Source organism: Homo sapiens, chromosome 7 (genome assembly GCF_000001405.40).
Source record: "Homo sapiens chromosome 7, GRCh38.p14 Primary Assembly".
NCBI lineage: Eukaryota > Metazoa > Chordata > Mammalia > Primates > Hominidae > Homo > Homo sapiens.
The window spans coordinates 108,225,155-108,252,129 of record NC_000007.14 but is presented as its reverse complement, the minus strand read 5'-3'; the positions used below and the strand labels follow the sequence as shown (position 1 = coordinate 108,252,129).

At 38.3% G+C, this 26,975-nt stretch overlaps 1 protein-coding gene across 107 annotated transcripts in view, besides 1 other annotated feature; it reads left to right on the top strand.

Moving 5' to 3' along the window:
* The window catches only part of NRCAM (neuronal cell adhesion molecule), a 309,072-nt gene that overhangs the window by 204,591 nt on the left and 77,506 nt on the right, over positions 1-26,975 (top strand). For 33 of the 107 annotated variants that reach the window (NR_163867.1, NR_163869.1, NR_163868.1 and 30 more), the window contains 6 exons: positions 11,960-12,171; positions 14,361-14,378; positions 17,442-17,547; positions 19,608-19,804; positions 20,977-21,099; positions 25,752-25,922. Coding sequence is in view for 101 of the 107 variants with exons in the window: in NM_001371122.1 (NP_001358051.1) it covers positions 12,066-12,171; positions 14,361-14,378; positions 17,442-17,547; positions 19,608-19,804; positions 20,977-21,099; positions 25,752-25,922 (721 nt within the window). In the remaining 6 variants the exon portion in view is untranslated. Of the gene's footprint in view, positions 1-8,744; positions 9,084-10,486; positions 10,751-11,959; positions 12,172-14,360; positions 14,379-15,105; positions 15,395-17,441; positions 17,548-19,607; positions 19,805-20,976; positions 21,100-25,751; positions 25,923-26,428; positions 26,486-26,975 lie in introns of those variants that run through there. The other 74 variants (NM_001371123.1, NM_001371174.1, XM_017012251.3 and 71 more) reach the window with 15 other exon arrangements.
* Positions 5,049-6,248: an enhancer, noted in NCBI's record as "P300/CBP strongly-dependent group 1 enhancer chr7:107886326-107887525 (GRCh37/hg19 assembly coordinates)". NCBI's record gives its function as "activates an origin of replication core promoter dependent on BRD2, BRD4, P300/CBP, MED14 and CDK7 cofactors, with strong dependence on P300/CBP, by STARR-seq in HCT116 cells {active_cell/tissue: HCT116}" and the evidence as "EXISTENCE:reporter gene assay evidence [ECO:0000049][PMID:35650434]".

The window sequence follows — 26,975 nt, the reverse complement described above, 5'->3', positions numbered from 1 at the left end:
ATGATGTCTGTAGATTCCATCTCCCACATCCCTTGGTCTCAAATCTTAGTCTTAGTGGTCTCCCTGGTACTCTTTCTGATGCCACCTCCCTGAATTTCATTCTTTACCCAATCCTTTCATTTGTAAATTCTGTTGGATGCTCTGCCAGGCTTTTGTTTTCTGTTTTCTGGTTTGTTTTTAATTTTTTTTTAAACAGTCTTGCACTGTCACCCACGCTGGAGTGTAGTGATGCAATCATAGCTCACTTCTGCCAGGCTTTTGAATCACCTTCTCCCCAAAATGTTGCCTCTCATATTATCCAACTTGGCCCCACTGGACACAGGTGCAGCAAGTGATGGCACCCAGAAACCACTGCTCAACTTCAGCTGAGAGGCCCAAGCCCACTCCTGTCTGAGAGGGGACTGGGCAGACTTGCATGGCCTGCTCACCTCATTCTTCCCTTGGTTGAGACAGCACCATGTGGCTGGTACTCACTTTCCCATGCCTGCTTGTGCCTAGACCCAACAACCAGCAGCCTCAAAGGATCTAATTTTTAGCTGTCTTCCCATTTCTGGTCTTGGTTTTTCCCTCTGTGCTGGCATCTCAGTAACCATCATTATTGGTGGCTGGATTATTTGACTCCATTTCTATTATAGCAGATTTGGCTCTCATAATTCATTGTTGAGTCTAGGAAGGCAGACCTGAGACACCTTCAAAGCATAAGCCCTGATAGGGCATCTTCTAGTAAAGTTTTCTTGAAATCTTTATGATTCCTTTAATATATTTAAAGAAATTATTTTTGTAAGTATTTTAACCCAGTTTATTTGTGAACTATCACAATTTCTGAAGAAAAATGATAAGAATAAACACAACATAACTTGGAAATGTATTACTTCTACAACATTTCTTCTTTCCTTGCTTTTTCTTTGTCCTCCTTATCTCACTTTTTTCTTACTCCCCATATTTCTTTCCGGAGGGTACAAATATTTATCTTTAGAAAATAAATGCTCAGTTTACTCACAGAAAATTGCCCATGAAAATTAAACTGAAAAGACACAGAGAGGCAGTCATTCTAGGTTTAACATTCTTATCAACCAACTTTAATAAAAACCAGAGGTTTTTCTGTTCTGACTCTTCTAGGAGGCTAGATACTTTGGCCGAAAATACTTCTACCTGAGGACATTTCAAACTGCTCTTTGGTTTTATTTTTTCTTTTTTAAAAAACTTTAAAAATTTTTTTAATTTTAATTTTTGTGGGTTCATAGTAGGTGTATATATTTATGGGGTGTGTGAGATGATTTGATAGAGGCATCCAATGCGTAATAATCACATCATGTAAAATGGGTTATCCATCCCCTCAAGCATTTATGCTTTGTGTTACAGACAATCCAATTATACTCTTTTAGTTATTTTAAGATGTACAGTTAAATTATTGACTATAATCACCCTGTTCTGCTATCAAATACTAGGTCTTAGTCATTGTTTCTATTTTTTTTTTTTGTACCTAATAACCATCCCCATTTCCACCCCAACCACCCTCCCACTACCATTCCGAGTCTCGGGTGACCATTCTTCTGCTCTACCTCCATGAGTTCAGTTGTTTTGAATTTTAGATCCCACAAATAAGTGAGAACATGTGATGTGTGTATTTCCGTGCCTGGCTTATTTTGTTGTTACAAATGACAGGATCTCTCTCTTTCTTTTTTTTTTTTTTTTTTTTTTTTTGAGGTAAGATGTGGCTCTGTTGCCCAGACTGGAGTGCCATGGCACGATCTTGGCTCACTGCAACCTTTGCCTCCCAGGCTCAAGCCATCTTCCCACCTCAGCCTCCTGCGTAGTTGGGACTACAGGTGCTCGCCACCATGCCCAGCTTATTTTGTGTATTTTTTGTGTGTGTGGAGATGGAGTTTTGCCTTGTTATCCAGGCTGGTTTTGAACTCCTAAGCTCAAGTGATCCACCTGCCTCGGCCTCCCAAAGTGCTGGGATTAGAGGCATGAGCTATTGACCTGTCCTCATTCACTTTTATGGCTAAATAGTACTCCATTATATATAAGTACTACATTTTCTTTATCCATTTATGGGTTGATGGACACGTAGATGACTTCCAAATTTTGACTATTGTGAATATTGTTGCAACAAACATGGGAGTGCAGATATCTCTTTAATACACTGATTTCCCTTCTTTTGGGTATATACTGAGCAGTGGAATTGTGGGTTGTATGGTCGCTGTATTTCTACCTAAAGTGCTCTTTGAATTGACATTTCTTTTAAATCATCACAATGGAATATATTCTTTCTATGGAGTCCATTTAAATGATGCTGAAAAGAGAGTGTGGTTTTATAGAAAAAGGGGTTCCTGAGAAGTCATAGACAGCAGAATTGAGCAGAGACAGCAGAATATGCCAAAGCTCTTAAATTGTTGGGTTGATTAAATCTCACAGTACAGAGAACATTGTTTCTAACATTCATGCTTTTGTGTACTTACCTTTCACAGAGGACATGGTCTCCTGAGGAGTTAATATTTAACTTCCAAGAAACTGATTTATATTCTAAATGCTTGGGAGAGGGATGCTCTTTGGAGTAAACCTGATAAATTTTCTTGCAAACAAATGGCCACTCGTTGATTATTTTTTTTTATAAAGGCAGATATTCACATAGCCTGTATAAAGAAAATTAAATGCACCAGGAGTTAAATATTTCATGCATTACTCTGCTGTTTTGCTGTTAAGTTCTTTATAATACAACATGCATGTCAGCAAGTGACTGAGATTTGTTCTTTATATGAAACAGCCTCTGGCTGGAATGAAGAATTTTCAGCTGTTTGGTTTGTGATAATATACCTTCCCCTGCACTGATAGCAAGTGGAATATACAATTCTTCATGTCATGTCCATCTCTATTTCTCATTTTCTTGGTTCCGTTATGATTACAGAGAGCCTGGATACCTTGGCAAAATATATTTTGAAATGTGGCTGGGAAGATTGTAGTAATCTGTGACATGTTGGGAGTGATGCCCTTTGGGTTTGGTAAATCTGAGCCTTTTGCCTCCCCAACACACATGCTCAGGCCCTTGTTTGCGGGGAGCACAAGTTATAGAAAAGAATGATTCATAGATGCAGCTGGGAGGAAGACAGAGGAGGTAGCTTCAACTAGCTAGCACCCACACAGCCCATCATCATCATCATCATCCTGCTCCCTGACTAATCGCCGAGATGAAACAATAAGATGGCCATCCTCTAGGATGTCACTTCTGAAACTCTTTCCAGAAAAAGCACTTCAGATTGATTGTGAATAGGCCATGCTCCCCGTGGCAGAAATACTAGTGCTCACTAAATATTCCACCCACACCCCAGCATTTCCCAGACTCTCTGATGATTGGAGTCATTGACTACTTCTGGTCAATGGGTTGTGAGCAAAAGTTGTGTGCATCACTTCTGGTTGGAGGAAGGTAAAAGCAGGAGAGCATGGGGACTTTGGAAGACATTTGTTGAGTTGGCAGCATCACAAAATGGTGGCACCTCTGTCAGCCTCGAGCAGAGGTGCCTGCACACCCACACTGGATGATAGAACAGGCGAAGTATCAATTGTATTATGTTAAGCACTGAGACTTCTAGGTTAATTTCTCACTGGAGTAGAATGTGAATGGTACCCCATGGACTTCTACCATGAGGTTAATTCTCTCTCCTGCTCTCTCTTCTCCTTGCATTACTACCCTTCACACTCATTAGGAAAGGAGTACACATTGAGATTTTGACCTGTACACTGCGTCCCTACCCTAACTGGTTCATACCATTCAGCAAGCATAGCAGGGTTTACCTTTGAAATGTGACACAATATTTTTCAAAGTGACTAGCCTGCCTGGCATTTCAAAATGCTATTTTTTACTATTAAATGGCTGCCATTTTGCCATGTGTTGCTTTCTTGACAAGTGGATAAGGTATAGCATGTTTAGAATATCAATATCCTGAAGGGCCTTTTTTGCTGAAGTTTTTAATAAACTGTTTCCAATCCTTACATCTTCTCAGTGCTATTTGTAGAAATCTCAGTTTACAGGAAGATAAATAGAGCTAGAGCTTGTTTCAGTGACTCCACAAATGTTTCTGAATGTGTTGCTCTGAAGACCCATATTCAGAATTAAATTTTCATTTCTCAGACCTCACTTTTAGAGCAGTTTCCTACTTTCCATTTTTGTTTTTAAATGGAACTTTGTTTCTGTTTTCTAATGTGAAGGGAATCAGCTGAGAAGTGGACTTTGTGAGGAAGGAAGAGGCCTATCCCTGTGGTTTGGCTTGCCCCTCTTTCCTCCCTTTCTCCAGATTACCTGTCTTGTGGGAGAGTGAGAAGAATAGAAGCTGGGGCTGACCTCAGCCAGAGTTCTAGTATGATTCACGGAGATGGGGAAGTAGGAGGGATAGACTAACAATATTGGACTCTCTCATCCTGTTCTCTACCTTAATCTTTGCTATTCTGCATTAGAAATAAATTAGTATAATGCCTAAGACAATAAATTAGGCATAATTTACAATTATGCTAAAATAATTTAGCATAAACAAATTTATGCTAAAATAATTTAGCATAAACAAATTTATGCTAAAATAATGGTCAGTGTTAACCACCTTCTATTTATTCTGACTATAAGTTTTGTGTGAGAAATGTAAGTTAAGTATGTGCCCTTTGGCTGCACCAACATATATATAGAGAAGTATCTAGAAAAACCAAAAAGGATAGATTAGTTTTGAAGAGAAGTCTACATTGCCACACTATTTACTAATTTAGGTTCGGCCATGACCTTGTAAGGAGACCTGCACATTTGGATCATCAGTCCTCCTAAATGTGCATGTTAGTATGTTTCTGGTTGCAAGAAAGAGCCAATCTCAGTTTATCTTAATTCATTATTGCAGATATCTATGGCTATATAATAAACCATTCCTAAATTTTGTGACTTCAAACAACAACAGTTTATTATTTCTTATAATCCTGAGGGTTGGCAGGATGGTTCTTCTGTTGCATGTAGTTTAAAAAGTCACTGGCTCAGCTATTTTTGGCTGGGAGCTCAGCTGGGGCCAGAGAGTCCAGGATGGTCTCTCATCTCCCAGGGTCTCTTTCCACTGGCTTCTCATCATCTAGTAGTATGGCTCATACTTCCCAGAGGGAACATTACAAGAGGATAAGCTGCAGTGTGCAAATGGTCATCACACCTCTTTTCACATATTGCTTGCTAAAAATCCCACTGGCCAAAGCATGTGACATGGCCAAGCCCACAGCCATTGTGAGAGTTGACTATGCAAGGGCATGGATACTGGGAAGGGTGCTTCCTGGGGCCACCAATGCAACAGTCTACCTGCCATATTAATGAAATTTTGTTGTAGAATACACAAGACTGGAGAAGGACAGGAAGATGTCTCAACCTCAGTCACTAGTGTGGCAAACTTCACAGAGAATTGGAACATTGTTTGGGGTACCAAGAGATTTACAGGCCTGGTGATTATAATGCAAGAGTAGTAGGTGCTTGTTATCACCTATCCAGTGTTCTGGTGATGTCATGGCCACTCAGCTCTTCTCTGTTTCTGTTTCTATTGATCCTCTGCTGCCCACTGGCTTCATTCTGCACTGGATGCCTCATATCTTTTGCTTACTCATGCTTGCTCCTACTGCCTTGCCTCTATTTGACCTTTGGCTTTTGTTCCTGCTCCAAACCGCTGACTCACTCTCTCTCTGTCTCACATTCACCCTCTCTATGACAAAGGAATTTGTTACCACTTAGTTGGTCACTCTTCAGTGCCTCACAAGCAGCCAAGTCAACTCACAGGCTCTACATGGCTCCCTGCCTTTGTTCAGACAAAGGCTGAACACCCACCCTGATTCTTTTTGCCTTGGTCAGAGTGATGAGGTCAATGCAGAAGAAAGACTGTGAGCATGGCAGGCATTCAGAGTGGAGCAGTCTCCTCCCCACTCTGTTTAGTGAATTGTGATTGGATTGGAAGGTGGGATAAAGAAGGAAATTCCCTTTCGTTTGCAAAGAACTAGTTCGTTCCTCTTTTTCCCCAACCATCTTTCCTTTTCCAATCAGCTCTCTCATCCCAGAAGCCAATCCTGACAACTGTCATCAGATAGCTGGCTGGACAAGCCTGGAAAGTGTGGAACAGGTGCCATCCTTGGTCAGGGTTGCTATTAGTCTCACACACATGAGCTTTTCATTAACTATGCTTCATCATTTGTCTTAGATCTCTCAGTTACATCATTGCCTCATATTGTTCTATTTTCTTTCTTGTTACTGCTGTGCTAAGTAAAAGAGATGTGAAAAATCCTGTATTCAGATGATCATGTGTGTTGCAAATAACTGGATTTCACTCCAAAAGACCTTGGTATCTTTGATAATCTAATGTCAGTGTCCCAAAAGCTTTTTAATAATTTTCTAAATCTAAAATGTCCTTAAATTATTGCTTAATATATTTTTATGTTTCTTTATGCCTGAACTCTCTCTGGAAGGATTCACAAAACTTGGTAATAATGACTGCTTCCTAAGGGAGAAAGGGGGTTGCTGGTTGCTTACTTTGCATTCTGTGGTCTTTTGTACTTTATGAATATTGTACCATGTACACACACTGCCTACTTTTAAAATTAACTTTTTAAAGTACATCTTGTCTACATAGTCTTAAATTGTTCTTCCTTTAGAAGGCCAGGGCCCGCATGTGGTAGAAGTCCATGGGGTCCTATTCACATAGAATCTGGTGTGAAGAAGCTCCTAAAGTTGTGCCATGGGCAACACTGTGAAGATCTTCTATAGATATTCAGAAACCGTTAGAGGTTTTCTTTTTTTAACATCAGTAACTAAACTTGGTAATTCTGTTTGCTTATTGACTAATTAAAAAATAAGAGGATATAGGAGGGAGGGAAATGCTAGGGACCTCTCGGGGTGAGGCAGTGTGAGATGGCTAAAAGCTCCAGAACCTTCCGGAACTGGAGCTCTAGATCTGGTACTTCACATATCACGTGACATTTAAGCAGGTGACACCATCCTACACCTTGAATTCCTTATCAGTAAGTTAAGAAATGTAATAAAAGTTACCTTCTGGAATTGTTGGGAAGATAAGTTAATGCCTGGAGGAGACTCATCGCTGTGCCTGGCACATAGAAAAGGCTCAGTGAATGGTAGCCATTAGGACTGGATTATTTTCTTGTCTGTTAAATGGGTAGAAATACCTGTTTTTCTGTTTTCTGGGGTTTTTATGAATATCAAATAAGATCATTAGTTATAGTGCTCTGAGGAGTAGAGATTTTGAGCTATTATCAGGATGTTGTTCCATTATCTGTTATTGGGGTAAAAACCACCTGTTTATTGTTCACCATTCCTTAGGTACTAGTCCAGGTTCTAGTTACTACATTCCTGGTAGAGCCTCTACTGTGGAAGATTCCTTTGGACTAGGAGGAAATTAGAAACGTGGTCCTTAAAGCTTCTCACAGTTTGTCTTGTTTGATCATTATCATCTCTATAGTCCTATTATCCCGGACTACTTTTTTCTGAGGTGCATTAATGATTGTGTAGTGGTGTAGATGTAATTGACTCTGTTGATGTGTTAATTATTAGTCGTCATTGTCCATTTCTCTCTAACCTTTCCTCCACAGTCTCAGACTTAAAATCTGTGATTGAAAAGCACAGCATGGCTAGAGATGTGCATTTGTGTACTTCTTCCTTAAGATAAATATTTAAAATATAAAAAGTGACCATCCCCAAGTTGACTGCTGAAAAATGTCTTTCACAGTCAAGATGATGTCCTACCCACTTAGTTATCCAGTCACTGAGGCGAGCCACTGATGAGGCATCAGAGCAATAGTTAGTGTGTCAAAGGGCATCTAGTCACATCAGCATATTTGTTTATCTGCTTGGAGAGTGTAGATCATGTTATGTGTTCAACCAGCATGGAACCCACCCATGTTGGGATGCTGAAAAGCCCAAATAGAGGAGAATGAAATGGCGAGTAATGCGTGGCCTTCAAATTCTGGTAGAGAGCTGATTTTTTTCATTAAAATAATTTCCTCCTTCATTTGAGAGAAAAAGAAAGGTTTTATTTTCCTTCTAAAGACAAGACTTCTTAAGTAAGCAACAGGAGAGCTGTTTCTCTCAGGCTTGATGTGAATCCTTTGTCAAAACTGTAGGGTTTTCTTTTGAAATACATAGTAAGTAATGCAGGGGAATATTTGCTCTGTGATTTAATATGAATTTGAGGCAAAAGAAATAAGGGAACCTTGAATTGCATTTCTTTTCAATGATGAAAAGTTTATCAAAGAAGGGAATTTTTCCCCCTTCTGTTTCACAGGTTCTATAGGTAACATACGAAAAGTTGCTTTGAATGGAGTTAAATTAAATGAGATATGAAAAGGCTTTGCTCTTTATCATTACTCTCAGTCCTTTTAGCAATATGTGTGATTTTAAATAGGGTGATCTATTTTTCAGAAGACGAATCTACCATTTATCTCATTCAATCCTGCTTTAAAATATCTGGCAAATATTTTTTGTACATTGTAAGCTATATTGCACTAACATACTCCTTAGCCTTGATTAAAAATCATGCTGCTATTTCAAATTGGGATTTTATTCATTGTAGTATAATTACATTAACAATTTAGTTTTAGTTCATGATTCTCACTTAATGAAGAATGACCATCATTTTCCAAGGTAAAGTACAAGGCAGATGGACTCCTACTGAGTCAAAGAATTGACGTCAATATCAAGAGTGCAAAGCGGTGGTTTTTCTTTGTGCAGTGTGCAGAGTACATTACTCTCATCGAGAGAAATCTCAGTCTTCTGTAGCTCTATTTGATTTTCAGTTTGATTGAGTGCTGGGGACTTAATGCTGTCCTTAGGCATTTGGGTTTTCATCTATAAGGGCATACGTTGCAAGAGTGGGTGATTTTCCATGGGCAGGAGCCAGAGGACGGGCTGGACCATTGCTTCGTCCTCCTCTAACAGAATCTACACTAGAGACGATTTGTGGCTAATGGTGCAGTTTAACTTAAAACTTCTGAGGAGAACCCCCATCTTCAGTTATCGTAGTTCATGACCTCCCAGCAGTATGAGGATTTATTAACTCATGTCTCTTTAAGTAAGTGCTTTCAATTTTTCTTAAAAATGCGATTTTTTTCTTTATAAAACACTGTGATTTGATGTGTAATAGTTTACTCCATGTATACTCTGAAAAAGCATAGAGTTTGATTGATACTTTCTTTTATATGAATTTGTCTAATGATTTTCTCTATATTGGAGGGTGAATAGTTAATACATCCAGACAAAATACATGAAGAACTTACAACAGAAATTGTATGTAGCTGTTTAAGATCTTACAAGTGTTACAATTTATTAGTACATCTATTGGAAAGTATATTAGTTCTCCAGCCTCTGTCTGGAGAACTTGGCACTTAAGTCCAATAATCTCCATTAGCATGACACAGAAATCAGACAAATAAACCATTTTCCTTTTCAGAGTTTGGTTCTTTTGTTTTATCTCAATATGTATAATATGTAAGATCCGCATGTTTTCAATGCTATTTGTGACGTTTATTTTTAACTTCCCTAAAGCTTATGTGAATTCAAAATTAGTGTTTCAACCAAAAACTCACGAGAGACCTAATTAAATTTGACTAAATGATCTAGATGTGCTTTGCACACACAGAAAGATAGTCTGGTTTGTATTTGTTCAGAAATGGTTGAGTGAGCTTCTATACCTGTGTCTCAATGCTTAATGGATATGAATGTTTGGATATTATAATATGGAAAGACATTTCCTGGATCTCAAATGAAGCCAAATAATATGGATGTTTTATTCACAAAATAATATTTATGTAAGTGTATAATCTTTATGTTTAGCACATTCTTTTTTTTTTTTTTTTTTTTGAGACGGGGTCTTGCTCTGTCACCCAGGCTGGAGTATAGTGGCACAATCTCGGTTCACGGCAGCTAAGCAATTTTCCCACCTCAGCCTCCCAAGTAGCTGGGGTTACAGGCACCCACCACCATGCCTGGCTAATTTTTGCATTTTTTAGTAGGGACGGGATTTCACCATGTTAGCCAGGCTGGTCTCAAACTCCTGACCTTAGGTGATCCACCCGCTTCGGCCTCCCAAAATGCTTGGATTACAAGCATGACCGCACCTGGCCTGGCATATTCTTTTAAAATTTGTTTTGCAAGAAGTGTCCTACTACAGTTTTAATCATGTTCAAATCAGAACTTGATTGCTAGCAAAATATGTTATTAGGATTATTTCATTTTCCTTTTAACATTTAAGCACTATTCCACACAGAGACATGATCGTACAACTAATTTGATCATATTAACAAGAGGTTGGTTTTTAAACCAAGCAGTATAAATATAAATACAGCCTTGGGTAGATCATAGTCAAACTATCCAAATGCAACCTCAGCTTCAAAGATTGTAAAGTCTTTTCTTTCCCCTTTTCTCCTTTCCTTTTTTTTTCCTCCAAATATTTATTTACTACCTACCATGTGCCAGGCACTGTGATGGGCTATGAGGATGCAGTGGGGGATAGGACAGATGCCATCCCTGCCCTGAGGAGACTTGCAGTTTATTGGAAAAGATGGACATCGTAAAATATACAATCATACAAATAAAAATTACATAAATAATTCAGTACTTCAACTTGTGGGAGGTACAGCAGTTTATAATAATAACATCCCTCCCACCTTCTTGAGAGAGTCATTGGTTGCCCCACTTCTCTTCATGAATGAGAGGACATGATTAAACCTATCATTTCAGGTAGGAGTTTACTGTGGGATGGATATCAATCTTCTATTAATATGTTTGTGCTCATGCTCTCCATTTTGCAATGGACACTTCCAATATGCAAGGCAGGCTGTATTAGGTGTTGGGAGAGGGCTACAAAGATGAGAGAGACAGTCCTTTCCTGGAGGAGTAGAGAGCATGTATGCAATATGTGTATACACACAGTCTATTTATTAATATATATCTACCTATGTATGTGATGTTTACAACAAGGAATTTCAGGAATTCAGGGGTGGTGGTGAAATAACTTCTAGTTCGGGTGATCAGCTGATGTTTCCTGGAGGTGACCGTTTAACTGATCCATAAGAAATAAATTGGACTTTGATAAGAAAATATGGTGGATAAAGGCAAATGAAATAGAATAAACAAAGACAAGAAGGCAGGAAAATTTGAGGCATATCGAAGGACTGACACAAGAAAGAAAAACAGAAATGCATCATCAAACCAAAAAATGGTTATATGGAAATAAAAGGAAATCAGGTTTGTAGGAGAAATTAAGCCCAGATCACTGAGATTTTTAAGTACTTGTTTAAAGATACATTGGACTTTCTTTGAGGGATCACATATGGCTACTCCCAATATTTAACCAGAAAAGGCCTTGTAGAAAAAATTAATCAGCACTGTGAAGGAGGGTGACTACAGGGAGGAAGGCCCGAACTCAGAGCCCAGCTAGGTTTGTTGCTATAATCTAGGTGGGAGATGGGGAAGACCTGAATAGTCAGTGCTCATCTGGTAAATTAGTGTTTTGGCTTTGAAGCAAATTTACAACAATCCCCTGAACTTTCCCAGAGATAATCTGTAGAATGGAGAAGCCATTAGGCTACCCCTCTAAAGTCACAAAGTGATTGCTTGCTGACCAGCTTAAAAGCCAAGTTTTCCTGATCTGTTGGGAAAGACACGATAGCCTCTGAACACTCATAATACAAATACCATTTAAAATGGAAAAATCATAAGGATGGTAGACAGATTATGCTTCATATCACTACTAATATCTCTGAACTGATTTTAGCTGATTTATGAATAAATGATTACTCCAGTTTTGAGAGTTAAATATTTAAAAGTTAACTTTCTTTTAGAGTTCATGTATAATACACGGCTAGTTCTCTGTGCTGCAGACTTCCGCTCTTCATTTCCTTCTTTTTAATACATTATAATTATTATTCCTACTCTATCCTTTTTCAGTTTCCCGCATGAAAATTACTTAAACGTTGCACACAACGTTTCACAAAATCTTTTGTGAAAGAAGAAAAGGAAATTCAGTGTGTGAGTCTCAGCAGGAGTTAAGCTAATGCAGCTTAAAATAATGCCGAAAAAGAAGCGCTTATCTGCGGGCAGAGTGCCCCTGATTCTCTTCCTGTGCCAGATGATTAGTGCACTGGAAGTACCTCTTGATCGTAAGTATTAACGTTTTAAAGCTGTTAGGCCCAGGAGTCAAAGCCTCCCAGCATTTATCATCACTCTGAACTGCGTGAATGGAGAAGGTGTCTGTGTGATACTGAAAAGCTAATCAAAATTAATTTGGCTTTTACCTTCAGCACCTGGTGTTTATAAAGATTCACACTGTAGAAGTGGCCATTGAAATGGTCAGACTCACAATTCCCTCCCTGTCATTCTCCTTCTTCCCCCTCAGGTGCCTTTTGTCTGCCCTGCTGGGGATGGCCTGAGAAGGATTGAGTTGTGCAAGCTGCCTGATCTTCCCAACAGGCGGCTCTTTAGAGAAGCAGTCCTGCAAGAAAACTATATGAGCCACTTTAAAATGATCATGGAGACCTCCCCACTCATCCCTTCACCACTTTACTCTTTCCCGTCATATGCTGAGGGTGGTCTGCAAAGATGAGGGGAGGCTCCTTCTGCCAACTCCATGCCCCTCGGAATCCCTAAACCACCCCAGAATTCATTTCTCTTGATTCAGACAAGGCGCATCTCACTTTCCAATTTTGAATCCTAAATATAAGTCTAGAACTAGGAAAAGTATCTTATCTAGAGCCTAACAAATAGTCTTATTTGGTTTAAACAGTGTGGTCAAATGCCAAAATGCAACTGCTAAAAATACAAGTAATATGCAAAGCACTAAAATGGAGCAAACAACAGCTACTGTATTAGCCCTCCATTTTCCTAGTAGTAAATATATACTGTGCTCTCCCTGCTCTGGGTGGCCTGTTTGTGAAAAATAAAGATAATGCTAGGTTCCACCCAGTCACTTTTCCTGCAAATGGAAAGCAAAATTTCAAATCTGGACAATTACTGTACTTCAGAATCGATTTCTCCTTTATCCCTCATCTGCATGACCTCTTTGAAGCCATTAGCTTCCTGAATAGAATATCTGTTTGGCAAGCTTTCCAAGGTGCAAGGAAGATAGCACTTTCCTGGGGCTATTCAATTGTTGGGATGTCATTTTTATTTATTTATTATTATTATTATTATTTATTATTACCATAGAGGTTGCAACTGCCAGTGGGAAGACATTAAGAAGAGATGTGGTTTGTCCCACACTTTGTTGACTTTTTGCTGTGCTTCTATAAAGTTCAATAAAATGCAGTGCTTTTCTTATTTAAAAAAAATTCATCCAGTGACCTTAATTTCAATTTTCAAAAAAATATACAATTGCTTAAGCCCATTGGAGTGGGAATGCCTAAGTAAGCATTTGCCCTGACAGATACACAGGAGGGAAAGAAAACATTTGAGAGAAATGCTTTTGTTCTCTCTTATATTAAATATATTCCCCCTTAATCTGACTGTTCAATCTGTCAAGCAGAGGGAAACAGTCACCTATGGCTAACTCAATTATCACTGCTAACGGAGAAGAGGCATAACCATGATGAAAAGAAAGTCACAGAAAAACCCAGGTGCTCCTATATTAACCTTTGCAAGTAGTAACGACAGACAGCACTGTGGAATGATTTGAATTGCATGCTAATGTAATTTCTTCCCTGCCCCTATTTCTTACATCGTTTCTCTACTACATGAACAAGTCCTTGGTGTGGGCACCAGCAACCCCTGAGTGATTGAGAAATTATGAAGCAGAAATCTGCTAACAGTCTAAAAAGTTCAATTAATGACTTTGGAGATTAACCATAGAAATATAAAAATCTAAAATTAGTGTTGGACTTGGCTTGCATGGAGCATTATCACTGTAGCAATGTCCCATTGTTAGGTATTATTACCATATGCACAGTGATGTCTGGGATAATATGACCAGACACTACACAGTATGTGACAACTCAAATTAATTGTAGATTTCAGCTGTTTTTCAAATTGAACATAATTACTTGTCCAACACAACATATATGGAATGGAATTCGCTATTCCTATTCCTGGAAGAACTCGTTTGCCTACAGCATTGCTTTTGTTCTTCCATATGTTTATGTGGGAAAGCTGCTGCAAGATTAAAGGAAACCGTTAATGCAAATTTCTTCGTCTTGCAACTTCACAAATTCAACCTTCACTATACAGGTTTTCTTAGATCAAATCAAATAGACAAGATGCCCCCTTTATCTTCAGAGTTCTAACGTTCTTATTATTAACATCTGATTTTCTTTAATCCTCTTTGCCCACTTACCTGCTGATATTGATGGGGAAAAAGCAAAACTTCTTGAAGACTGTAAGTGTCCTTCTATAAATTACTAGGCAGTGTGAAAATGTGACCATGTCTTTGCTTTTTGAATTAATATTGTGATTTAAATGCACAATTTCATGTTTTGTGACCTTTGTCTTTCTAAGCATGTGTGTTTACTGTAGCTAAACATTGTATTTCAATACCAAGAAGCAGTTGTAAAGTATTATCTGCATGAATTCTGAAAACTTGGCTATTACTCTTTCTTTTACCAGTGTGCTGCTCTACTAACTTCCAAGCTTTATTCACATCTGATGTAACTCAATGAGAAAATTCTCAAAATTTAGAGAGAATGCTGATCTGTTGTAAAGGCTAATTAATGCTTTCTGGAACAAAGATAGGTCTTTTTGTGTCTTTTAGAAGGTGGGTGCAGGCAAAAGCTTTACACAAGATGGCAGCTGTATGTCCTTTTATGCTTCTTCAGCCTTCGTGACTATGTAGACTAGTATTTCTAGGTGCCATCAGTAGACTAACCCAGCGAATTTGAATCTTGTCTTGAAGTGGACAAAAGATAAGCAGCTCCCACTCACATGGTATTTGAATGGCTTGCTCTGAGCAAAACTTTCCACTGCCTTTGACAGGTGGCATTTATCACCTAGTTTAAAAATAGTCAGTTTTCAGGCATTTGATAATTTCCTTTGATGTTAGATTAACCAGGAAAATTATGTAAAATCACTGTTTTTCTTACTACTGAAAAGCATTTGTTAATTAGCAGGTGACCCAAGCACTGTTTAAGGAGGTATATCCAGACAGTAAACTCCTGGCAGTTAGGAGTGACATCTGAGCCAGCTCTGCTGCAGACCTGTGAATAGAAGCTCTGCCTCTGAAGCCACCAGATTTGCACCTGTGTCACTCCCAGAAAAGCACAAGGAATTGAACTGAGTCACTCCTAAGAATCCCCTCCCCCACTCCCTATGGCCACTATTCCTTGGATGTGGAATTCCAGGCTTCCTTCCATTATCCCAAATTCTATATACTCCCAGAGCCTGAAGGATCATTCAGAGGTGAATCTGGTCCAAATAAAAAATGATTATGATAATAATTTTAAAATAGCTGATGTTATTGAACCATTATAACATTGGTATACACTGAGAATTTTATAGTAATTATTTTCTTAATCCTGCTAGCTATCCTAGGTGGTAATACTACTTTTAAACTTTATTTTCCCTCTCAGGAAACTAGGACTTATAGAAGTTAAGAAATTGGCTTGAAATCTCACAGCTAGTAAGAAACAGACTAGTGCTTAACAATCAGGCCACCTTGGAAACTGACAAGGCTAGAAAAATGAGGATTCCATATGGATGACGGAGGGGGGAAGGGCAGCTGGAAAGACAAGGAGGGGGATGGGATATTCCAAAGGGAAGGGAAACTGACACTGCCCAGTACCCTGCATATAATAGTACACAATAAATGATGACAGTAATGAGGCTAGCTTTTGATTTGTACTTTAGCTGTTATTTGAATATTTAGTAAAAGATGTCTTGTGGATGGCAATAAGACTAGAAGACAAGAGAAGAGGACGCAACCGGGTTTATAGATTTATAAGACTGAAGATGTGGAGGTGATACATTTAGCTCTAGCAACAATTAACCACAAGAGAGACAAGAACAGTGGGCAGTTACTGAGCTTTGAGAAATGTTTGGTTGGCAAGTGGAAGAAGTTTCACAAAGGAAGCAGAGGTATGGGCAGAGAGGAAAGGGAAGATCCAGAAGATGAAAAACTTAAATGAGCCAGAATGTCAAATGCAGCAGGAAAGGAAAGAACAGTGAGAATCCAAGAGAGGGCCTTGGGGGAATTTCCCAGATGCAGAGGAAAGGTGCTGTGGTATGGCCACTGCATTGCACAGCTCCAGGGGTGCCAAGCACATTGTCGTCTGCCTCAGAACTTTTCAGCCTCAGCACTATGGATGTTTGAGACCAGATAAGTCTTTGTTGTGTGGAATTGTCCTGTACGTTGTTAGATGTTTAGCAACATCCCTGGCCTCTATCTACGAGATACCACTATCACTACCACCCCAGTCGAGACCATTGAAATGGCCTCCAGATATGGCCAAATGTCCCTGGAAGGGTGGAAACAAATTGCCTCTGGTAGAGAACCACTGGTCTGTGTAAACAGCTCTCCATGGAGTTGTGCAAGCAGTGGCTTCTTACCAGGAGCCAGTTGAGAGAGTTTAGGTCTCTGCTTTGTGCCTTCCTAGTCAAGCCATTTTGCTGCACTGAGTAAGAAAAAACAGGTTGTAAAAAATTATTCTTTAGTCACTTCCTGTCATAACACTAATTCTGATCTCACAAGAAGAAGGACATGGTGATTTTAGAACAATTTGAAGAGCATTAGTGGTCCAGATACAGGTTTCTTCAGATTAGATTGTTCTGGGTCAGAACAGTTTCCCCATAGGATTTGATAATAAAAGATCAGATAACACTTTGAAGAGTAAATGGGAACACTGTCTCCTAGGACAGAGAACTTCCTCAATTCCATTTATCTTCTAAATAAGACTCTTTTATCTTTGTTCCTCATTCACTTACCTCCTGGCTCTGATAAGAGATGTCACATCTCCAGTTTAACAGTCTGTTTAATATTAACTTCTCAAATGTATTTGTCCCCAACATATATTGATTTATATGAGCACACACTAATGACCTAAGTCTGTTACTCTTTCTTAAGAAAGATGCAAATTTATCATAACTTAAATTCCTTTGAAAAACATCATTTGAACCAAAGGAATCAAAAGAATTTCTCATTGTTACATCAGAAAAGAAACTGTCTTAATATTAGGTTTGTATTGATAATTATTTCCCCAAACTTTTAGTGTGAGAAAATGGACTTTGCAAGTACACATAGTTACCGAAAGAAAGTTAAACCTTGACTTCACAGTTTTAGCAGACCTTTAGCAGAAAAATCTACTGAAGTATATGCTGCTACACTAGAAATTACTAAAAATACTTGAAGCATATTTAGTCTAAGGTAAGTGATTTTGATACAGGAAAAAATGGCTACTATTATGATTTTAAATAATTTGTTTTTTTACATTTTTTTTTTTCTACAATTAAGTGGTACAGCCTCCAACCATCACCCAACAGTCTCCAAAAGATTACATTATTGACCCTCGGGAGAATATTGTAATCCAGTGTGAAGCCAAAGGGAAACCGCCCCCAAGGTGAGTGTGCATTCTGCTTTGTTATAGTACTGAGAATAAATCAGGAAATCTCTCTGAATAGAGAAATATGTTTGGGAATTTCCATCAAACAAGGCAGACTATGTAGAGCACTTCCTTTTTCAGTTGGATATTTCTCACTGTGACTCACTAGATTGCCCTTTGGTTCATCTATCCCAGCCCATTTCAGCCCTTCAAAGATACTGAAGGTAACTTCTTGGGTCCTGCATATCCCTAAAGTCTCACCTGTAGGTGTATTGTTTTGTCTCTCTGCTTAATTAGAGCCCATTTTTTCTTCTTGAAAACCCAGATTATTGCATTTCTGTGCCCATGCTTTTCTGCAAAATGCTTATAAATTGTGAGGAGTTATGGAAAGAGCCTTTTGATTCTGATTTTGATACTAATGGCCATAAGGCACAGGCAAATCCCTTTTCTCTGGGCTTTAATTTCCTCATCTATAAAGAGATTGAATTTGATGACTTCCAAGATCTCTGCTGTCTTTGTAACAGTTTATAAAATAGTCTAAAATGGTTTTCCAAACTTGGCAGAGTTCAGTCATGAGAATTCATGCCATTTGGATCTTGCATAGCATTTTAGATCACTGCAAAGCATTTTAGAGTTGGGAGAGATATTAGAGATAACCCAGTCCAACCAATACATTTTATAGATGGGAAACTGATGCCTGGTAATGCTAAGTAACTTATTCAAGGCCCCACAGCGGATGATCTGTAACATGTCCAGTCATATATGGAAGTTTTGGAGAGTTGGGTTATTGTTATTAAAATGTAATGTGGATTTTTAAGCAATAAAGTAGTGAAAGTTTCCAGTTATTTTATTTCCAGGTTTGTCTATTACAGACCTTATTAAATTATCACAAACTGGCCCCTGAGAAAAAATTAACTGGGACAGAATATGTACTATGTCAAAACTTCCAGCAAAGGTTTGCCTCAAAATAATATATTCGGCTATGTTAATGGAAAGCCTCTCTCGCAGAAGGCCTGATGTGGTATCCCTTGATGAGGTTTCCTTTCAGTTTCACAATTAATGCCTTCTGTAACTTGCCATAAAACAGGATTTATCCTCTTCAGCATTGTTGATATATGGAGTGTGATAGATAATATTTTGTTTGGGGGATGGAAGTGTCCTGTGCATTGTAGGATATTTGGCAGCATCCGTGGCCCCTGCCCACAATATGCCAGTAGCATCCACACCACCAGTTCCTGCCCTGGTTGTGACAACAACTGCTATAAAGATAAGCAGTGGGAAGGGAAATCCAAGTGATCCTAGAAAACACTGTGACGTTTAGAGATTCGTACCTTTGTATGAGCATGGCCATCATTGATTTGTGACTAGTTGTAAAGTATTTAATTACATGAGCACTGTGACTTTTATATAAGTCAATCTTTTATAAAAATAAAATGGAGAAAGAGGGATCTCAGTTGACAATTGGGCATACCTCCCAAGGGATTCTCAAAATCATCTCTAGAATTAAAAATTCCCAAAATGTTTTATGTAGAGTTACTATTTTTAATAAGCAACATTTAAGACACTCTGGAACTGATGTCTCTTAACCTCCTCCCAACCTACACTTCACAATTTGGTAACTTGAAATTTGTCTGATCAATTTTCATCATATATAAATAGTACTTGCAGAGGTCTTGTCACATTTTAGCCCCAAGCAAATTTTTATAGACAGGTTATCAACTCTGTGAACAATGGAGTTTACAGTAAAAATGCTAATAAAGCTCTAAGAGAGTGTACCTGGGAGACCTGCTCCCTCTATTTTCTTAGAAAAATGACAGGCAATTTGTGTGCATGATTTCTTTATTGAGTCAAATTTGGGCTAGTTCTAAAGAAGACAGGTACCTTAAAATGTATAGCCTGCCCTTTTTTCCCAGGTCATGATTCAATGAAACATTTTAGATATGAGGGCTTATTGCTCTCTTACTGAATATTAAAATCTGGTAATTATTTCTAGAAACCCATAAAACTGCTAGGAATTTGTTAAGGTAATCCCATTTTTCTGGACCATTAATACACTTAACACTTCGTGTGTTGGGCAGCTTTTCCTGGACCCGTAATGGGACTCATTTTGACATCGATAAAGACCCTCTGGTCACCATGAAGCCTGGCACAGGAACGCTCATAATTAACATCATGAGCGAAGGGAAAGCTGAGACCTATGAAGGAGTCTATCAGTGTACAGCAAGGAACGAACGCGGAGCTGCAGTTTCTAATAACATTGTTGTCCGCCCATCCAGTAAGTGGAAACTTGTCAACCAACATGACCCTTTTTAAAGTATTGCTCCAAGACTCAGCTTCTGTGACATCATCCAAATACTATTCAACAAAGCAGTGGCATTGCTTCCAATATTCTGACTTTGTTTTGCATGAAAGTTATTGCTCCTTTCCACCTTACCCTAGGAAGCTCCTTAGTCCAATGCTTTACCAATCCAATATATCTTTTACAGAAGTCCTGTGTAAGACATTGGGGTTAAAAAAAAAAAGTGTTTCTTCCCTGAGTTCATCTAATTATTTATTTCTCATGTATCTCCTGTGAAAGTGAAATTCCTACAGCCAAATGGAAATAAATTCAGTATGATATGGGTGATCAAGGTCTAAATGCTATTTCTTTAAACATTTTTGTTTCAAAATTTTACTGGAAGTGGAGTGTCCTCACTACCTTGATATTATTAAGGCTCTTTTTGCAATGGTTAGTACCAAAATCCTCTCAAAAACCTTAAGAGCATGTATTTAAATAACAGTCACATTTTTCAGTTCTGGTCATTTAAAAAAAATTACATGTATAATACATGTTCGTTGTAGAAAAACTAATTAAACAAAAAAGAAATTTAAAAACTGTTCATGAATCCTTCCATTCAAGGAAATAACTACTGCTGAAATATTCTTTCTATTTTTTCCTAGGCAGATATGTATGTATGTGTTTAAAACCAGCTCATTTTCTGAAATACTATCTTACAACCTTTTCTGACTTATTGACATATCGTGTATATTCCCATAGCGATCTTATAAATAAGTGTACTTATATAATACTCTATGGTATTCAGAGGTGTAGATGTGTAATTCTTTATTTAGCAAATCTTTTTACATTTAAATGTTTTCCATTCTTTTGTGAAGAACATGCTTGTGTCAAAACTGTTTGTCTTCCTGATGATGTATGTAGTATAAATTCTCAGCTGTGGAATCACTGACTGAGAATTTATACTATCAGTGGCAATGCATGAGAATTGTCATTTTTTAAATTTTTACTTTTTTCTTTTAACATTGTATTTAAAAATATTTTCTCATTAATTTAGTGTACATAAATTACAAATTATTTCTCCAAAACTTCAGTTTGCCTTTATTTGTAGGGCTTTCTTTTTGTACTTTTCAATGCAGAAATAACTGAGAAGTTATTTTTTTATTTAATAGGATCACCATTGTGGACCAAAGAAAAACTTGAACCAATCACACTTCAAAGTGGTCAGTCTTTAGTACTTCCCTGCAGACCCCCAATTGGATTACCACCACCTATAATATTTTGGATGGATAATTGTAAGTTTTGATAATATGAACTTTCTTTCTTTAAAAGTCTTAGGATTGTTTACAGTCATAATACATTATTACCTCTTATGATTCATAAAATGTTTTAGAGATGCTCAGGAAAACAGCTGCTCTTCAAAATAAATAACATGTCATCTCATTCACTCACTCAATTTTATTGGACATTTACTATGTATCTTGCTTATATTCTTTGCAGTGGGAGGAGATAGGAGTGGGGAAGGAGGCAGATGATAAATGCAATAAGTACATTTAGAAAATCTGTGTTTGTTGGCAATAAGTTCTATGAAAAAAAAAAAGCAGAGTTTTGAGCAGAGACCTAAGGAAATGAGAGAGCAAGCCATGCCCCTAAATATCTGAGTAGAAAGGGAAAACTAGTGCTAGCCCCTAAGGAAGGAGCATCTCTGCTGTGTGTAAAAATAAAAGCAAGGAGGACAAGGTGGCCAGACTAATGAACTAATGAAGGAGCCGAGCGGGAGGGTGATGGAGAAGGTGAGAAAGGTCACAGGACTCAATGGAAAGGACTTTGGCTTTAGCTTGGAATGAAGTAGGGAAATGTTGAAGGAGTGACTTTATCTGAAATAAAATAAGTAGTAACAGTATCACTTCAGTTGATATGTAGAGAATATAGCGGGCAAAAGAGAGAGTAGAGAGACTGTTGGGGCCACTGCTGTAATCTAGATGAAATTTGTTGGTGACTTGGACTTGAGTGGTAGCAGTAGAATGGGTAAGAAATGGTAAGATTCTGGATATATTTTGAGGGTCAAGCCTCCAGGATTTACTGGGGTGGGGGTGGGAGCATGAGAGAGAGGAATCAAGGATAACTACCTTTGGAGATTGAACAACTCCAAAATGATAAAATGGAATTGCCATTCCCAGAAACCCATGGCGGGGAGGAAGTCAAGCTGTTGGGGATATGTTATGTTTCTGTTAGTTTTTTTAATCCCCAGCAATAGCTAATAGTTATTGGGCCTTTACCAAGTGTCAGGCCTTTTACTAAGGGCTTAACATGGGTTATTTCATTAATTTTTACAACAACCCTATGAGGCATGTCCAATTATTTTTTCCACTTTCCAGATGAGGAAACTGAGGCAGATATAATGAAGCTATTCATTAGGCAATTTCAAACTTGTCTACCCCTGTTTCTGTCCTCAAGGGCATGTTTGTTGCTCTGCCTCTTCCACCTTCCAAAATTTCCTGTGCCAATAGGTCAGCGTGTTACCTTAGAGGGAGTACATGGTTCTGCTTGGAGACTAAGAAACCAGAGTTTGGGATGTGAGAGGCCTGTAAGATATTTCATGGCAAGACACCAGCAAGAGTCAGAGATACCTGAGTCAGAAGGAGGATTCCAGGCTATGATCAGCAATGTTTGAAACCTTAGTGCGTAAGTCCTGCCTAGAGGCCTGGGCTAGATGAGAGGATCTGGGAAGCAGGAAAGCAGAGTCTGGGAGACTGAGACCAGGAGCCCTCCAGAGGTGAAGAACTCATGGAGAAATCAGCAAAGCAGATGAGAAGAAGCAGTCACTGAAGGAAAAAAGGAACAAAGAGAGTGGTGTCCCCAGGGACAAGGTGAAGAATGTGTGTCAAAAAGATGGATTAACCAGGCAGGGTGGCTGACACTGTAATCCCAGCTAATCGAGAGGCTGGGATGGGAGGATTGCTTCAGCTCAGGAGTTCAAGGCTGCAGTGAGCTACAATCACATCACTGTAGTTCAGCCTCAGCAGCAGAGTGAGACACCATCCCTAAAATAATGATAATAATTTTAGAAAATATTTTTGAAAGACACAATTATTAGCTATTTCAAATGCTGCTGAGAGATCAGATAATATGAGAACTAAAAAATGACTACTGAATTTGACATCTTGGAGGTTCTTGGTAACCCTGTTAATAGTCTTTTAGGTGGAATGGTGGGAATGAATTAAAAGTATCTGTAGGAAATACGTTCTATTTTCAGTGACCTGATTGTCTGTGCACTCACAAGACATATACATTACTAAAGAGAAAATTTGCCTCTAACATTTAATCTGCATTTTAATTTTTTAATTTAATTTTTTTTTATTTTACTTTAAGTTCTGGGATGCATTTTGGCTCTCCTTATATGAAAGCACTCAGAGAAAGTAAAGTAACACAAAGAAATAAAAAACAAATATATAGCTAAGTAAATCTAGTCTTTTACAGATTTTGCAAAAATAAGTAGTAAGCCAAATGTAAATAAGTGACTTATGGCTTTAAGAATAATGCTCTCCGAATACCACTGCCAAAATAAGGCTCAATATTTGGTACTTGGTTCTTATTCAGAAATAATGACCTTTTTGCTTAATAAAGAGACATATCACATGTAAAGTCTCAGAGTCATCTGAATACATAACTAATTTTTCCACTCACATGCATTCTAGGCTGTTGGTGAAGCATCTGACCTTTCAAATGGAATTGCACCTGCAATATGAGAAAAAAATTTATATAGCATACTTCTTGCAAGATGACATTAAGTTATTCCTATCTGCATACATTTTTTTTCAAGTGCAATGCAAAATGCCACCACCCTCATGAAGTCCCATCGCCTAACATTTGGTCTGCCAACACCCTTCAATTTATTATTTTATTGCTACAGCAGGAGAAACAGAGGACAAGAAATGTTTTTGTCTTAAACTCTTTGTTAAACAAAATGTACCTAATTCTTCTGAGGGTTTTTTTTTTTGTTTTAGATGGAGTCTCGCTCTGTCACCCAGGCTGGAGTGCAGTGGCACAATCTCAGCTCACTGCAGCCTCTGCCTCCCGGGTTCAGGTGATTCTCCTGCCTCAGCTTCCCGAGTAACTGAGATTACAGGTGCAAACCACCACGCCTGGCTAATTTTCGTATTTTTAGTAGAGACAGGGTTTTGCCATGTTGGCCAGACTGGTCTTGAACTCCTCACCTCAGGTGATCCACCCACCTTGGCCTCCCAAAGTGCTGGGATTACAGACATGAGCCACCAAGCCCGGCTTGGGTTATTGTTTAAACAGTCCTTTTCCCGGGAACTAATGGCTTAAAACCATAAATTTGCAACCACCAACCAAACCCCCATCTTAACCAATAATTTGATTAACATGATGAACCGATGTTCTTTCTTTGAAGCTCTGCCTCCACATTTTCCTGCCTTTTTCTGCCTGAGGGAGCTCCAGACTTTTAACCATAATTTTGCATTTCATGAAATGTTAGATCAAGCACCTGCTATAGGAGGAGCAGACCTGCTTGACTTACACTGCAAAAACCCTGTCAGGAGACATAGTGGCCTGAGGCCACTGGGATGTGTGACTTTTTTCAGTTCTGTCACCTCACAGAACTGAAGAACTCTCACAGTTAAGGCTCTGTGGACTAAGTCAGGAGCTTCAGGATGTCCATTAGCTGGCTAAGTGTGAACTCACACACAGATCAATCGTTCCACCTCCCTGCATCCTTCATCCACTTAGAAAATCTTCCCTCTAAATAACTTCTGATACTATTGCACAGTAGGGTGACTGTGGGTAACAGTAATGCATTGCATATTTCAAATAGCTAGAAGAGAGGATTTTGAACGTTTTCACAACAAAGAAATCGTAACTGTCTAAGGTGATGGGTATGCTAATTACCATGATTTGATCATTACACAATGTATATGTGTATTGAAATATCACATTGTACCCCACAAATATGTACAGTTTATTATGTGTCCATAAAAGATAAAGAAAATCCTCCTACCTAAGGCAAGATAGTTCCTTAACTGGACCTAAGGGGAAGTACTAATAAATTATTATGCTTGACACTGGAAAGTCAGAGTGCTGATGGTTACTCACTTAATCCTTCAGTGCACATTTAAAGGAGCCCCGTGAAGGGCCAGGCACTGTTCCAGTGGACAAAACAGATGAAAGTGTTCACCGTCCTGGAGCTTAAATTCTAGTGCAGGAAATAGGCAATAAGTCATATGTATGATGAGTAGATATGTAGTATGCCAGAAGGTGATAATTAATTCAGAAAAGAATTGTAGAGGAGGTGGAGGAACTGGGCTTGGGAGGCTTGTGAGGGGCAGGTTGCAGCATTAAATAAATAGTGTCATCATCACACCCAGTTACTGTCAGCTGGCCATTTGCTGCCTGATTCTTCAACTGGATGATGAGCTCAGACAGGGCTGGGACTCTGGCATGCCCAGTGCCTAGCACAGGACCCAGCTCATTGTTAGATGGTCTCCACGTATTTAGTTTCTGAATGTTGTGTGTAGATGCAACCCATGTTAACAATTTTAGAAGCTTCCTTAATGATTTTCTAAGATATATGTGTATGTGTACTTAACAGTTAGGGACTCAGATATTAGGAAAAGTCACGCCAACTTTTTATAAAACATATTTTGTTCACTTTTGCTTAAAAAAAGATTTCACTGTATAACTCTAATCTCACCTCTGCCCCCACCCCAGAGAAGTTACTGTCAGGGAAGTAGAGTTAGAGTTTTAGTGTGTTACGTATTTTTTTTTTTTTTTTTACAGTTATTTGCTTTTACCCAAAGAGCTATATAGAGAAAAAATATATTCAAATGAAGTTCACAGACCTATTAGTAGGTACATTTATCTTGCTAATTTGGAGGGTAGCCACTTTATGATGGAATAATCTTGATATCTCTCTGCCTTTCTCCAGCCTTTCAAAGACTTCCACAAAGTGAGAGAGTTTCTCAAGGTTTGAATGGGGACCTTTATTTTTCCAATGTCCTCCCAGAGGACACCCGCGAAGACTATATCTGTTATGCTAGATTTAATCATACTCAAACCATACAGCAGAAGCAACCTATTTCTGTGAAGGTGATTTCAGGTAAGAGTTCAGCTTCCCAAATCTCCCCTTCAATGACATTTACAAATATGTGCAAAATATAGAAACTATTATATACTACTGACTTTGAAGTAAACAGGTTCATTATCAGGAAGCCACCCATGAATGCTCACTAAAGTGTTGGCATATATGTTATAAAGATTGTGCATACCCTTAATATTGGATTTTACATTTTTTGCTTTTATTGTCATGACTGGTTCCATGATAACCTTCTGAACCACCTGGTGTTCTGAGCATTTATGTGTGCTTTATGCTCCACAGTGCCTCTTATTGGCGGTCCTGCAGCTTAAGTTAAATGTCTGCATATTCCTGGTGGGGGTGGCTGAGTAAATTAATGAGTTAGTCATGTACAATGTAAAGCACTGTTTTTACTTGATAGGAACAGCACTCGGTCAGGATAGCTGCATATGTTTGCTTTTATTGCCCAATACTTTTTGACCCTTCTCCCCCACTTTTATGCCCTCTTCATAATATTCTGTTTATTTCAGTGGATGAATTGAATGACACTATAGCTGCTAATTTGAGTGACACTGAGTTTTATGGTGGTGAGTTATGGTGATTGTAACTGATATTCTCTCCTTCATTGTAGAATTTAGTTCACTAACTTCACCTCCATGACTATTTAACCTTATTTCTTTATGAGATTTCTAGTTATATGTTAAATACCACTAGTATAAATGTATGTTTCTTATGAAATTTACCTATAAACTTTGAAGCATGCCACTAGAGCATTTTCCATGATGTATGTGTAATAATGAAACCTGTTGTAACTGTTTGCGTGTAAAGAACCATTTCACTGATTTGGAAAAACCTTTCACGTACGTTCAGAATTATGTTTTCCATGTTTTGTTCTGTTCCAAACTTTTCTTGTGAACTAAGTAAGAGTTGGCAGGGTGCATTAACTTGCTAGAATACTGACTCATCAAAGCTTTTAGCAACTAACATTAAGGGGATTTCATAGTAAATCATCACACTTGTCATCTGTTTTCATGTGACATTATCAATATAATTAGCAATGAGATTTCTCTCTTAGTT